Here is a 14634-nt window from a genome sequence, read left to right as displayed (position 1 = left end):
AAACAAACCCATATATCACTGCTGACTGTAGCCCGCAGGAAGTGTGAACAGAATCCACTGGGTTCTTGAGACAGGATGGCTTAAGGAGGAGGTTTCAGGTTTGGGAGCCAGGCAGGCCTGGGCTGGGATCCCGGCCCCTCCCGTGCCAGCCGTGTGAACAGTTGTCTCTTCCCTCTCCAAGCCTGCCCTTCCCTGACACCCACGTGATGAGAGCCCAACTCCTGCCACCCAGGAAATGCAAGCTGGTGCCCTTTAATGTTATAATTCTCGTGGGGGGACAGACTTGGGTGCTTCTGGCAGGAAGAATTTTTCCAGCTTTGTTTTCCTCGAGGATTATGAGAAAAGGGTCTCAAGAATGAATCTTGACGTTCAAACTGGCTGCTATTATTGCAAAGCACTTTTAAAGATTGCAGGGAATCGATTTTCTGACCTTATGCCTAGGCTGAGTCCTACACATTTGCAGCCCAACCTTGGCTTTTGGAGAGTGTAGGGCTTAAAATTAAGGCTCTCCTCTCTGCTGGGCCTGGTGGCTCACACCTATAATCCCAGCACCATGGGAGGCCAAGGCAGGAGGATTGCTTGAGGCCAGGAGCTTGGGACCATAGCAAGACCCCATCTCTACAAAAAAACAATTTTTAAAAAATTAGCTGGGCATTGTGGTACATGCCTATGATTCCAGGTACTCAGGAGCTGAGGTGGGAGGATCACTTGAGCCTGAGAGGTCAAGGCTTCAGTGAGCTATGATCCCACCACTGCACTCCAGCCTGAGTGACAGAGCAAGATCTTGTCTTTAAAAAAAAAAAAAGATAATTCCCCTTCCTGCCCTATTTCTGAGGCTTCTTCTTGCCTATCTCCAGAAGGAAATCTTCTAAGTGCCTTCATGAGAGACAGGGGACATTTGGGAGTCCTATTCTCTCCTCTAGCAAAATCTCCTCTAGCAAAATCTCTCCTCTAGCAAAATGTCCCACCTGGGACAGCAGTCAGCATGGCGGGACACCAGGGACTAAGGCCTCCCTATGCCCCCACTTGTCTCCTCCTCCCTGTCTGTCTATCTCTGAGCATTTATTACTTTACTGTGTTTCCCATGGAGTGTCTTCTCACCAGGGCTGTCTCTAAATCTCTCTTCTTCTCTTGAGTCCTCCCCATCTCTGCCTGTGGGTCTCTGTCTCTCACTCTGCCTCTTTGCCTCCTGTGTTTTCCAGGCCTCGGAACTGGGAATGACCTCAGCGTTTTACAAGTACATCCTCACCACCATGGTGTGTATGCCCTCTGGCCCATCTCTGCCCCCACTTCCTTCCCATCACAGCTGTCCCATTAGGGCTTAGCCCCAGGCCTCACCACCTCTTCCTGGTCCCAGGACTTCCCCATCCTGCATCTGGACGGTATTGTGGAGGACTCCTCCAACATCCTGGGCTTCTCCATGTTCAACACGTCCCACCCCTTCTACCCTGAGTTTGTCCGCAGCCTCAACATGTCCTGGAGGGAGAACTGTGAAGCCAGCACCTACCTGGGCCCTGCGGTGAGCACACAGATACCCAGTCACACCCAGAAACACTCTGCACAGATACTTCTGGGGCCCCCTTTCAGACCTCACTCAGATCATGCTCAGAACCCTCTCGCCCTCCCTGAGGCCTCGTGGTGTGGCCTTGTGATGCATTGGACCCATGTCCTCCTCTCTCTCTACCTCCCACACCACTCTGGCCACACCAGCTCCTCGAGGTGCCTCTGATGCCCCAAGCAGGTGCACCTCAGGGCCTCTGCACACCCTCTTCCCCCTGCTTCCTGTGCACTTTCCGAGAGAAGCAGTGGCTTGCTCCCCATCACTAGGACATTGCTCCAGTGTCCCCTCAGGTATAAGATTTTTCCTTCCTCCTCCTGTTTAAAAAATGGTAAACTTGGCCCGGCGCGGTGGCTCACACCTGTAATCCCAGCACTTTGGGAGGCCGAGGCAGGTGAATCACCTGAGGTCAGCAGTTCAAGACCAGCCTGGCCAACATGGAGAAACCCCATCTCTACAAAAGTACAAAAATTAGCTGGGCATGATGGCAGGTGCCTGTAATCCAGCTACTTGGGAGGCTGAGGTGGAAGAATCACTTGAACCTGGGAGGCGGAGGTTGCAGTGAGCTGAGATCGTGCCATTGCACTCCAGCCTGGGCGAGAGAGCGAGACTCCGTCTCAAAAAAAAAAAAAAGTAAATTGGCCAGGCATGGTGGCTTATACTTGTAATCCCAGCACTTTGGGAGGCTGAGGCAGGAGGATCACTTTAGTCCAGGAGTTCGAGATCAGCCTGGCCAACATGGCAAAATCCTGTTTCTACTAAAAATACAAACATTAGCTGGGTGTGGTGGCGTATGCCTGTAATCCCAGCTACTTGGGTGGCTGAGGCACAAGAGTCGCTTGAACCTGGGAGGTAGAAGAGGTTGCAGTGAGCCAAGATTGTGCCACTGCACTCCAGCCTGGGTGACAGAGCAAGACTCTGTCTCAAAAGAAAAAAAAAAGGTAAACTACCTATTTTTTCACCCCTCCCTGCCTTGTCTTTTTCCATAGCACTTATATTTGCTTATTTCATCACGATGTGGCTTACTGTATATTAGACTTACATAGAGATATGGATTTGAGGACTGTAAGTTCCATGAGGGCAGGGGGTTCTGTTTATTTTGTTCACCATTGTATCCCCAGCACTTAAAACAGCCTAGCTCATAACAGGTGTCTGATAATAGATGTTGAATAAATACCAGCATACAAAAGATGCATATTTATGTGTATTTGTTCACAGACATCTACTCAGATACCAAGACACCAAGACACTTCTACGCGCAGAGCACACATGGACACCAAGCTGTCCAGTCAGATGTGTCCACACAGGGACATCACACACCCCAACACAGAGGCACATTTGTGTGTACCCCTGTGCACATCTACACAACACAGATACTCAGACCTTCACACTAACACAGCTGGGGCACACCCTAACAAGCACACACAGACACCGTGGTTGTGTCACAGATTGGGGGCTAGAGTGTATGGGACGCTAACTGTGTGCCAGGCACTGTTCTGAGTGCTTTACAGGCGTTATGTCACCGGAGCCCCGTAACAGCACATGAAGGTAGAGATTACTATTATCCTCATTTTACAGAGAAGGAAACTGAGGTTCAGGGAGGAATGAGGACTTAGCCCTATCAAAGAATGAGAAAATAGCAGAGCCAGGCCTCTAGCTCTGAGCCACCTGCCTCCCAGGCCCGCGACCAATCATTATATGCTCCTGCCTCTCTGACACCACACCCAAGCTGTGTATAGATGAATGGGCATGGTCGTCCAGCCCCACTCATGTAAACGTGCCCCAGACACACTCAGACGGGGACTATGGCCATCTTCCCTGGCCTGCATCACCCAGATTCACAGACATACCTGCCCATGCAGGTGACACAGCTAGCTATCCAGGCACCCTCTGAGAGATACATGGCCACATACATTCTGGGAGACCTACTCCCACCAAGACATGGGAAGCACACACACCTTCCCCGCTGTCAATTCCACTTCCCAAGAAAGACACCAGAGCCACTTCCTCACTCCTGACCCACCCAGTTTCCCATTCCTGGGGAGAGGGAAGTTATTTGAGGGTTTGAGGGTGGCAGCTCAGGGGCCTTTGGGGCTCCTCTGCCTAGGCAGCCTCTTATCCATCCCACCCCCGCCTCTGTCCCACCGCAGCTGTCAGCCGCCCTGATGTTTGACGCCGTGCACGTGGTGGTGAGCGCTGTCCGAGAGCTGAACCGCAGCCAGGAGATCGGTGTGAAGCCTCTGGCCTGTACATCGGCCAACATTTGGCCCCACGGGACCAGCCTCATGAACTACCTGCGCATGGTGAGCCCGAGCGGGGATGGGTGGAGGAGGCAGGACACGGCCACCTCAGGTGGGAGCGCTCACTGTGACCACCCTGTGGCCCTCTGCCCTCCCTGCTCTTCCCACCGTACCCACTGCCTCCCCTGTCCACTCCTGGCTGTTGCTGCCTATCTGGGTTACTCTCTCTCTCTCTTTCTGAGTCTTGCCCTCTTCATGCCTTTTGTCCCATCTCCTCTTGCTTCCTTGCATGTTATCTTGCTCTTTTGACTGTGATCTTCCTCTTCTCTCTCTTGTCCCCTCCACCCCGGTCTGTCTGTGCCTTTCTCTGTGGATGTCTCACCACGTTGGGCCTTCCCTGCCCATCTCTGGGCCCCTGCACTCTCCCTCTGCCCCACCTCCCCACCCTGCCAGGTAGAGTATGATGGGCTGACCGGGCGGGTCGAGTTCAACAGCAAAGGGCAGAGAACCAACTACACCCTGCGCATCCTAGAAAAGTCCCGGCAGGGCCACCGTGAGGTGAGCAGACCCAGGGTGACGCCAGAGCCCTGCTGGGGTGAGGGTGGGGGCGGGCCCAGAGGCTGCCATGACCTCAGGCAGGGCCTGAGCTGACAGCACCCTCTCTGCCCCCTAGATTGGGGTGTGGTACTCTAACCGCACCCTGGCCATGAATGCCACCACCCTGGACATCAACCTGTCGCAGACACTGGCCAACAAGACCCTGGTGGTCACAACCATCCTGGTGAGTGGCCCTAGATGGGGGCCTGGGAGTGGCGCTGCCCTGAGCCCAGTCCTAGCTCCCACCGTGAGGTGGAGGGATGCATTGGCTGGCACAGCGCATAGGCCAGTGGGGGCTGGGATTCCTGCACGCAGCAACTCCAGGTTGTGAACAAGGTGCTACCATCCTAAATGCTGCCAGAGCAGGGAGGGAGCAGACTGCCCTCAGGGCCAGATTTAACCCAGCTCTTTGCACAGTATCTGGCTCTGGTCAATCCTGATGAATCATGATTGCCAGAACAGTTGTTTTGCCACCCTTGCCAACAACATGTATCAACAATGCCAACTCAGTGTCCATCTTGAAGTTGTGGAAACTGAGGCTCAGAGAGGGGAGGCGACTTGCCCAGGGTCACACAGCAAGCACCCGGCACAGCCAGGACTGGAAGCTATGTCTCTAATCCTTCAGAGCCTGAGTCTTGACCTCTGTGTTCTGAAGCTCCAGACCTCTCAGTACCCAAGCACCAGACAGGGACGTTGTCCTGTAGCCCTGGGGGTGCCACTCCTGCATTTCACCAAATCAGAGGCAGAGGGGCCTTTGTATGTCAAGTATTTATTGATTGCCTGTTCTGCACCGGGCACTGTGCTAGGCCCTTTCCAAGCGTCATTCTTTAGACCTCACGGCTACCCTTGTGAGCTTTGTCTTATTTCCCCCTTTTGAGGGTAAGGAAGCAGGTCACACAGTGAGTCCCCGGCAGAGCTAGTGTCAGGCTCGGAGCTGGTGCCCTCTCTGCTGCACCATGCTGACTCCTGCCAGGCACAATGGGCTTCCAGTGCCTTAGGAGGTCAGGGAGGGGGTGATCCACAGGGCCTGGCGAGCAGGAGGCTTCCCCAAGCGGCTGGCCTGGAGGCTGGACATGCCAGGCAGCCATGCTCTTCACAGTGGCCAAGTCCGTGGCCTGTCAGCACTCATTGTTAGTGAGGGAGCCGCTCAGTAACTCTGAGCTGTGTCAGCTATTCGCTGTGGATGCTGACATTCAGAGAGGGTTACAAGAGGGTTTTGCAGGATGTTAGAGGGCCACCTAAAGCAGTGAGTCGCAGAGCAGTTCCCTCAGTCCCTAGGGAACTCCTGATCTAAAATGGACCTCGAGTCCCTCTGGAGCAGGGCCAGTGATCCTGTTGTGGAGGGACAGATGGCCTGCAGACGGGAAACCAGACACCTCCTAACAGCCTCCCCAGGGAGCCCTGGGGGCTTGGCTAGGAGCAGTCAGACCCTCTGTGCTGTGGTGTGCGGTCAATCCCTGAAGCCTCCTGGAGGCAGAAGAGTTGGGGGCCTTGGTGGGGAACAGGGTGCAAAGGTCAGGGAGGGGAGGTCAGGAGAGCTGAGCTGTGACCCTGGGAGCTTCAAGTGTCTTCACTCTCCTCCCTGCTTCTCCTCAAGGCCTGGGAGCTTGTATTTTTCTTCCCTTCCTGATGTTCACCTATCTCTTGATGGGTTGATTCACTTATTCATTCCATAAATATTTACCAAAGCTGTATGGTGCTGGCCCTTACATTCTAGAAGCACAGATATGAGTCAGGTGCTCTCAGGTGGCACTGGGAGGCGGTCCCAGTCTGATGGAGGAGATAGACCTGGACACAGTCATTCCCACAATGAGGGACTACCAAAGAAAGGAGGGACTGAGTCAGCTTTAGGAGGCTGGAGGAAGGCTTCCTGGCAGAGGTGGCATTAGATGGGGTTGCATAGGAGTTGGGTGCCCAGAAAATATCCCAGGCAGCAGGAGCGGCAGGAGGGGCAGGAGCTGGGGTTTTGGGAGGTGTTTGTCAGGTTGAACAGGGAGGCAACAGCCTCTGTGTACACAGCCAGACAAGCCCTGTTCATTCGCTGGTATTGCCTGACATGGGTTTCTGGGCAAGACCTGTGTCAGGCACTTGGAGATTCAGATGTGACTCAAACTGGGTGCCTAGGGCAAGATGTGGGTTAGAACTTGTCTCATTCGCTGCTCTATCCCAGGGCCTAGAGCTGTGACTAATACCTAGCAAGTACAGAGGGTTGTGGTGAGTGTTGGGACAGAGGCAGCCTAGGGGCTGCGGGGCAGCAGGTGGGGAAGGGGCTCTGAAGGACTCAGTTGTCCTGTGCTTTACCTTGGGGAGAGAGTGTTGAGCAGGAAGGGGCGGGGCCAGATCTGGAGTCAGGAAGGCTCCTTGTTGGCCCATGAGGGATGCTGCTAGGGATTAGAGGTGGTCCGGGTGTGGGAGCGAGGGCCTCTGGTGATGGGGTGCAGGCTGGCGCTGCCCCTGGGGCAGGCTCAGGGATCTTGTGCTGAGACAGGATGGGCTGGCGCTGAGATAGAGAGAGGCCCCATGGGGAAGCTGGGGGTGCAGAAGTCCCACGGAGTTGAGGCTGTGCATAGGCCCGCCCTCCTCAGCCGCTGGTCTCGCCCCAGTCTTGGAGAATTTGTCAGGGTACCCAGGTGGTCCTGAGGATTCCCTTCATTGAGCTGAGATGCCTCACTCTGCCCTTTGGTGACTAGTGTGGCAGTTAAGAGTAGTCTCTCTGCTGCGGACAGAGGGACCTCAGTCCCATTCCTCCGCTCTTATTAGTTCAAGTCACTTAACTACAGTATCCATTGCTTTATCTATACAACGGGTCTGCGTCTCGCCTTGAGGGGCAGTGGGAGGATCACATGAGCTAAGAAGGCCCTTGCAGTGCCCAAGGTACGTGTGAGAGCACCTCCCTCCCTCCCTCCCTCTCCTGAGCTTGTGGTTCATGGCTTTGAGTGTTGTGCCAAGCCCTGTGCTCATGTGACACAATCTTCACAGAAGCCCTGATTTTCGGATGAAGAAACTCAGGCATAGGAGGGTTAAATGACGTGCCCAAGGTCGCCCAGCTAGAAGGCAGCAGAGCCCACATGCCTGTCTTTTGCACCACGTTGCCTCTATTATTTTTTAATTTTTTTTTTTTTTTTTTTGAGACAGAGTCTTGCTCTGTCACCCAGGCTGGAGTGCAGTGGCGCGATCTCGGCTCACTGCAAGCTCCGCCTCCTGGGTTCACACCATTCTTCTGCCTCAGTGTCCCGAGTAGCTGGGACTACAGGCGCCCGTCACCACACCCGGCTTTTTTTTGTATTTTTAGTAGAGACGGGGTTTCACCGTGTTAGCCAGGATGGTCTTGATCTCCTGACCTCGTGATCTGCCCGTCTCGGCCTCCCAAAGTGCTGGGATTACAGGCGTGAGCCACCGTGCCAGGCCACATTGCCTCCATTATTTCTACTACTTTCTGAGCCCTCAGGGCTGTGTCCTGAGCCTGGCACTGCCATCCACACACTGTTTGCCCCTAGCAGGTCTCTCTATACTCAGTTTCCTCCTTTAAAGTGAGGGGATTAAAGTATTCCTAGCAGTCTGGGCATGGTGGTTCACACCTGTAACCCCAGCACTTTGGGAGACTGAGGCGGGAGGATCACTTGGGCCCATGAGTTTGAGACAAGCCTGAGCAACATGGCAAAACCCCATCTCTACTAAAAATACAAAAATTAGCTGGGCGTGGTGGTGTGCACCTTTAATCCCAGCTACTTGGGAGGCTGAGGCAGGAGGATTACTTGAACTCAGGAGGTTGAGGCTGCAGTGAGCCCAGATCATACCACTGCCAGGGCGACAGAGTGAGACCCTGTCTAAAAATAATAATAATAAATAAATACGTAAATAAAATATTCATAGCAGAGTGAGGAGGTTGGACTAGATCAGTGTTGACACTGCAGGAAATCCTGGACAAGGATTTGGATCCCAGGTTCATGAAAGGGTCCAAGCAATCAGCTTGTAAGGAATGTTCTAGAACCTACCCTACTTTAATTTTTTGTTTTTACTTTTGATTTTCACTGAAGTGTAACACACATACAGAAATGTGCACAAATCGTGTTACTTCTCACTGAAGTTTCAAAAACTGAACACACCTGTGTAACCAACCAGCTGTCCCCAACCCAAAGCCTCCCCATGCCCTTCCAATCACTAACCCTCCAAGGCTAACCCCCATCTCAGCTTCCGTCACCACAGATCAGCTTTGCCCGCCCTTGAACCTCATATAAATGGCATCGTACTGTGTGTTCTTTCTTGAGACTGGCTTCTTCTGGCAACATTATGAGTTTCATCTGTGTCATTGCAAGTAGTGTAGTCTCATTGTTGTATGTTGAATGTACTGCAATTTCCTGATTCATCCAATCTAGATGGACGTTTGTTTCTGGCTTTTTGCTGTTAGGAATAGTACTACTAGGAAGGTTCTCTTCCATGTCTTTTGGTGAACATGTACTGGTGTTTCTGTTGGGTGTGTTCTAGTTGCTGGGTCCCAGGGTGTTTGTCCTAGCTTTATCACGTATTGTAAAAGTGTCTTCCAAAGTGGTTGAACCACTTTCACTTTCATTCCCAGCGGCAGCGAATGAATGAAAATTCCACTTGCTACTCGGTTTGTCAGTGGTGAGTGTATAAAGGTACCAACCATATATGGTGGTTTTCATTTGCATTTCCCTAATGATCAGGAAGGGAGAACACCTTTTTGTGTTTATTGGCTATTTGATTTTTCTTTGTTTTTGTTTTTTGAGAGAGGGTCTTGCTCTGTTACCCAGGCTGGAGTGCAGTGGCCCAATCGTAGCTCACTGCAGCTTCGACCTCCAGGCTCCAGCACTTCTCCTATCTCAGCCTCCTGAGTAGCTGGGACCACAGTCGTGCACCACCACACCCAGCTAATTAAAAACAATTTTTTTTAATTGACAGGGTTTTACCATGTTGCCCAGCCTGGTCTTGGACTCCTGGGCTCAAGGGATCCACCCACCTTGACCTCCTAAAGTGCTGGGATTACAGGCATGAGCCACCACACTTGGCCCTTTATTGGCTATTTGGAAATCCTCATTTGCAAGGTTCCTATTCATGTCTTTTTCTATTTTAAAAAAATTGGGATATGTGACTTTTTATTGATTTGTGAGTTATTTTTTATTTTTTATTTGTTTATTTTTTTATTTTGAGACAGAATCTTGCTCTGTCACCCAGGCTGGAGTGCAGTGGCACAATCTCGGCTCACTGCAAGCTCTGCCTCCTCGGTTCACGCCATTCTCCTGCCTCAGCCTCCCAAGTAGCTGGGACTACAGGCGCCTGCCACCACGCCCGGCTAATTTTTTGTATTTTTAGTAGAGACGGGGTTTCACCGATTAGCCAGGATGGTCTCGATCTCCTGACCTCGTGATCTGCCCACCTCGGCCTCCCAAAGTGCCGGGATTACAGGCGTGAGCCACTGCGCCCAGCCTGATTGTGAGTTATTTATACATTCTTGGGTACAAGTCATTTGTCTGATGTATGTATTGCAAATGTCCTGTCCCCCTTTGTGGCTTACCTTTTCATTCTCAGTAGTATATTTTGGATAAAAGGATTTGATTTTTAATTTTACCAAAGTTCTCTTCATCAGCTTTTTTCCTTTATGGTTAATGATTTTAGAATTTAAGAATTCCGTGTATACCCCTATATCATGAAGATATTCTACTATTTGTGTTCTAAAAACTTAATAATTTTGCCTTTTACATTTGGGTCTGCCATCCTCCTGAAATTGATTTTTATGTAGCATGTGAGGTAGGGGAGTCAAAATACATTTTTTTCTTTTTTTTTTTTTTTTTTTTGAGACAGAGTCTCACTCTGTTGCCCAGGCTGGAATGTAGTAGCATGCGATCTTGGCTAACTGCAACCTCCACCTCCTGGGTTCAAGTGATTCTCCTGTCTCAGCCTCCCCAGTAGCTGGGATTACAGGCGCCCACCACCACGCCTGGCTGATTTTTGTATTTTTAGTAGAGATAGGGGTTTCACCATATTGGCCAGGCTGGTCTTGAACTCCTGACCTCAAGTAATCCACCTGCCTCAGCCTCCCAAAGTGCTAGGATTACAGGCATGATCCACCGCACTTGGCCAGAATACATTTTTTTCCATATGGGTATTTAATTCAGCAGCACCATTTATTATAACAATAATTCTTCCCCCTTCAGGACAGTTTTACCTTTGTCACAAATCAATATCCATTTATATGTGGGTTTCCAAACACTCCATTCTATTGTCTGTTTGTCTGTCTTTGTTCTAGTACTGCAGTGTCTTAAATACCATAGCTTTAAATTAAGTGTTAACATTTGGCAGGGTAAACCCCCAGTTTTGCTTTTCTTCTTTAGGATTACTTTGGTTCTTCTTGACTCTTTGCATTTCTTTTTATTTTTTATAAGTTATTTTTATTGAGACGGGGTCTTCCTATGTTGCCCAGGCTGGTCTTGAACTCCTGGGCTCAAGTGATCCTCCCTCCTTGGCCTCTTAAAGTGCTGAGACTACAGGCGTGAACCACCAAGCCCAGCCAACCATGCATGTTCATACACACTTAAATATCATACTTCAATTTTAAAAAAATTGTTACACTGGGGAAGGGGGCTGAGCATGGTGGCTCATGCCTGTAATCCCAGCAGTTTGGGAGGCCGGGGTGGGCAGATCACTTGAGCTCAGGAGTTCGAGACCAGCCTGGGCAACATGATGAAACCCTGTCTCTACAAAAAATACAAAAATTAGCCAGGCTTAGTGGCTCGCACCTGTGGTCCCAGCTACTCCGGAGGCTGAGGTGGGAGAATCACTTGAGCCCAGGAGGCAGAGGTTCTAGTGAGCCGAGATTGCACCACTACACTCCAGCCTGGGTGACAGAGCAAGACTCTGTCTCAAAAATAAATAAATAAAATTGGGGAAGGGACAGAAGTTAATACAAACCTACGTAAAATAGAATTCAAAGAGTACAAGGCAGGTGAGGAGTGAAAAATCAGTTTCCTTCCTTCCCTGGGTCTCTCATTTTCTTTTTTCAGAGGCCACCATCCTCCCAGAAATGTCTATGCATATACAAGCACATCGTTGCTCTTTCTTTAACAAAGAGTAGCATATTGTACACGTTGTTCTGTAGCTTGTTTTTTTCCTCCTAATATATCTTGTAGACCTTGCTATTTTAGTGGTTGCCTGGGATTCTTTTATGACATCGATAATCTTTTTAACTTGGCCCAAATTAGGTTGTTTCAGTCTTTGTTCTCACTACAAGCAATGCTGCACTGACTTTCTTGGACCTGCGTTTTTGATGCACAGCCATTTGTAGGGTAAATTCTTAGAACTGGACTTAGCAGTATCTCATTGTCTGGCTGCAGTGTTGGGCTTCTGCATAAGATTCTTTTTGAAGTCTGAAGACCCTGGATTTGAGGCTCCTTGAGGACCCTTCTGTTCTGATAGTCTGTGACTCTAAGTTGAGTCCTAGATTACGGTTATCTAATTTCTATTCACAGGCCCCAGTCTCTTTTTGTCTCCCTAAGCTCAGACCCCAGTCCTGAGACCCTGAACCTAAGTTCCTCAGTCTTGAATTTAGAGATCAGCTTGGCATAGTGGAAGGAACAGGGTTCAGAGTGCACAGTGACTGGGTTGTGAAGCCCAGCTCTGCCCCGTCTCCCTTCCCACTGCCCTGCTTCAGCTGGGTGGCCTTGGGCTAGATGCTTTACCTCTCTGAGCCTTGGTTCTATCCTCTATATGTCAAGGGGGCTGTATGGGAGCCAGGCCCTTGTCTCTAGGATTCTCAGTTTCTGATTCTCCAGCTTTGATACCCAACCTGGGTCCCTCGTCTCTCTCTGGCTTCTCCCATATCCACTGTCTGATTCTGTCCACTTGAGCTCAGTCTAGCACAGGGCTTAAGAGCGGAGCTTTGGAATCAGACCAACTTGTCCTTCTCAGCCACTTACTACTTCACTTCTCTGGACCTCAGCATCCTCATCTCTAAAAGAGACGTAATAATACTGCCATCCCACGCTGACGGAATTGCTGTCACACAGCAAGCCCACAAGAAATGCTGGCTGCTGCCGCTATTATTAGTATTATCTCACATTCTTGTTCCCCGTTCCACAATTTTGGTTCTGGAAAGGCAGCTTAATAGAGAATCACTGACTGCCCTCCATTCCATCACCCTGTAGCTGTAGGGCTCTGTGGGGTCCTGGAGTCCAGAGCCTATGACCTGGCCACATAGTAGGAGATTCTATTACTGTGTGACAAACCACCCAGAACCCAGAAACTGAAACAATAGCAGTTGATTATTTTGCATGATTCCGTGGGTCAACTTAGTGGTTCTTTGGCTGGTCTCACTTGGGCACACTGCGGCAGCATTCAGCTGGTGTCCAGACTGGACTGGAAAGTGCAGAATGGCTGTGGATGCTGGCTGTTGGCTGGCATGCCTTGGTTCACTCACCCTCCAGCAGGCCAGCCTGGGCTTCCTTAAATGGGGGCTGCTCTGAAGGCTGAGACTCTGGAATTCACACGGCATCACTTCTGCCACATCCAGTTGGCCAAAACAAGTCATAAGGCCAGCTCAGACCAAGAAGTCTGAACCCAGGGAGAAATGGACCCCATCTGTTGCTAGAAGAAGCAGCACAATATTGTGGCCACATCTACCATGGAGCTCAGTAATTGTGTGTTGAATGAATGAGAGGTGACAGAGGTCACCTAACCACTTTGAGCCTCCGTGTCCACATGTGTAAAAGGAATCTACTTATGCCCATTTCAGTGTAAGGTCACCATAAGGAATTAAAATAATGTCATCGAGAGAATGCACAGCACAGTTTCTCAATACACAATAACCAGTGTGGATATTTTATTTATTTTATTTTTGAGAGAGTCTCGCTCCATCTCCCAGGCTGGCCTGCAGTGGTGAAATCTCGGCTCACCGCAACCTGAGCCTCTGGGACTCTACCTCAGCCTCCCGAGTAGCTGAGACTACAGGTGCACACCAGCACGCCTGGCTAATTTTTGTATTTTTTATAGAGACGGGGTTTTGCCATGTTGCCTAGGCTGGTCTTGAGCTCCTGGGCTCAAGCCATCCACCTGTCTTGGCCTCCCAAAGTGTTAGAGTTACAGGCTTGAGGTACTACACCTGGCTCATTGTGTATATTTTAACCAAAGCTCTTTCCTGGCTCTTCCCTAAGTCCTAAGTCCTTTTGTTCATTATTCCAAAGTGACATTGTACAAACAACCATTTAGACAATAACTGTGTCCAGATAAGTTTCCCATTTGTTACCATCATCACATGCCTTGTTTTCCTAGCACTTGGACCATTCTTTCTGCTTTTGTGTTTCTTTGGCACAACGGGATCAGTAAAGTTTGCTCAAACCCCTCAGAAATAAGCGTCAATGTGGCAAACTGACTGTAGGTCAGAGATTGCAAACTAGAAACTGTGTTTGTTTTGGCCTGCAGAACATTTAATAATAATTGGTATTAGAATTTGAATTGGTTGCTGTATTAGTTCATTTTCATACTGCTGTAAAGAACTGCCCGAGACTCGGTAATTTATGAAGGAAAGAGGTTTAATTGACTCACAGGTTCAGCATGGCTGGGGAGGCCTTGGGAAATTTACAATCATAGCAGAAGGCGAAGGGGAAGCAAGGCACCTTCTTCACAAGGCAGCAGGAGAGAGATGTGCCGAGTGAAGGGGGAAGAGCCCATTATAAAACCATCAGATCTCGTGAGAACTCACTATCACTAGAAGAGCATGGGGGAAACCGCCCCCCTGATTCAGTTACCTCCACCTGGTCTCTCCCTTGACACATAGGGATTATGGGGATTACAATTCAAGGTGAGATTTGGGTGGGGACACAAAGCCTAACCGTATCAGTTGCTAACATTTATGTTATTTTATTTTAGAGACAGAGTTGCTCAGTTGCCCAGGCTGAAGTGCAGTGGTACAGTCATAGCTCACTGCAGCCTCAAACTCGGGCTCAAGCAATCCTCCCACCTCAGCCTTCCAAAGCAGTGAGATTTCAGGCATGAGAGTTGCTAACATTTATAACCAGGAGACTTTATAAAACAATCTTAAGTTTCCAAATTCTCTTAAAATTGCACCATCTGGGCCAGGTGCGATGGCTCACACCTGCACTTTGGGAGGCCGAGGTGGGCGGATCACTTGAGGTCAGGAGTTTAAGACCAGCCTGGCCAACATGGTGAAACCCCGTCTCTACTAAAAATACAAAAACAAAATTGGGCGGGCGTGGTGGCAGGCACCTG

The 14634-nt window shown here is 50.1% G+C and overlaps 1 protein-coding gene across 10 annotated transcripts in view; it reads left to right on the top strand.

The window, feature by feature from the left end:
• Positions 1–14634, top strand: part of GRIK5 (glutamate ionotropic receptor kainate type subunit 5) — a 71883-nt gene that overhangs the window by 12026 nt on the left and 45223 nt on the right. For all 10 annotated transcript variants that reach the window (XR_935810.3, NM_002088.5, XM_011526862.3 and 7 more), the window contains 5 exons: positions 1203–1256; positions 1358–1519; positions 3709–3861; positions 4252–4356; positions 4472–4579. Coding sequence is in view for 9 of the 10 variants with exons in the window: in NM_002088.5 (NP_002079.3) it covers positions 1203–1256; positions 1358–1519; positions 3709–3861; positions 4252–4356; positions 4472–4579 (582 nt within the window). In the remaining variant the exon portion in view is untranslated. The remainder of the gene's footprint in view (positions 1–1202; positions 1257–1357; positions 1520–3708; positions 3862–4251; positions 4357–4471; positions 4580–14634) is intronic.

This window comes from Homo sapiens, chromosome 19, assembly GCF_000001405.40.
Source record: "Homo sapiens chromosome 19, GRCh38.p14 Primary Assembly".
Lineage (NCBI taxonomy): Eukaryota > Metazoa > Chordata > Mammalia > Primates > Hominidae > Homo > Homo sapiens.
Note: the sequence above shows the minus strand (reverse complement) of the source record. Positions and strands in the feature narration are given on the sequence as shown.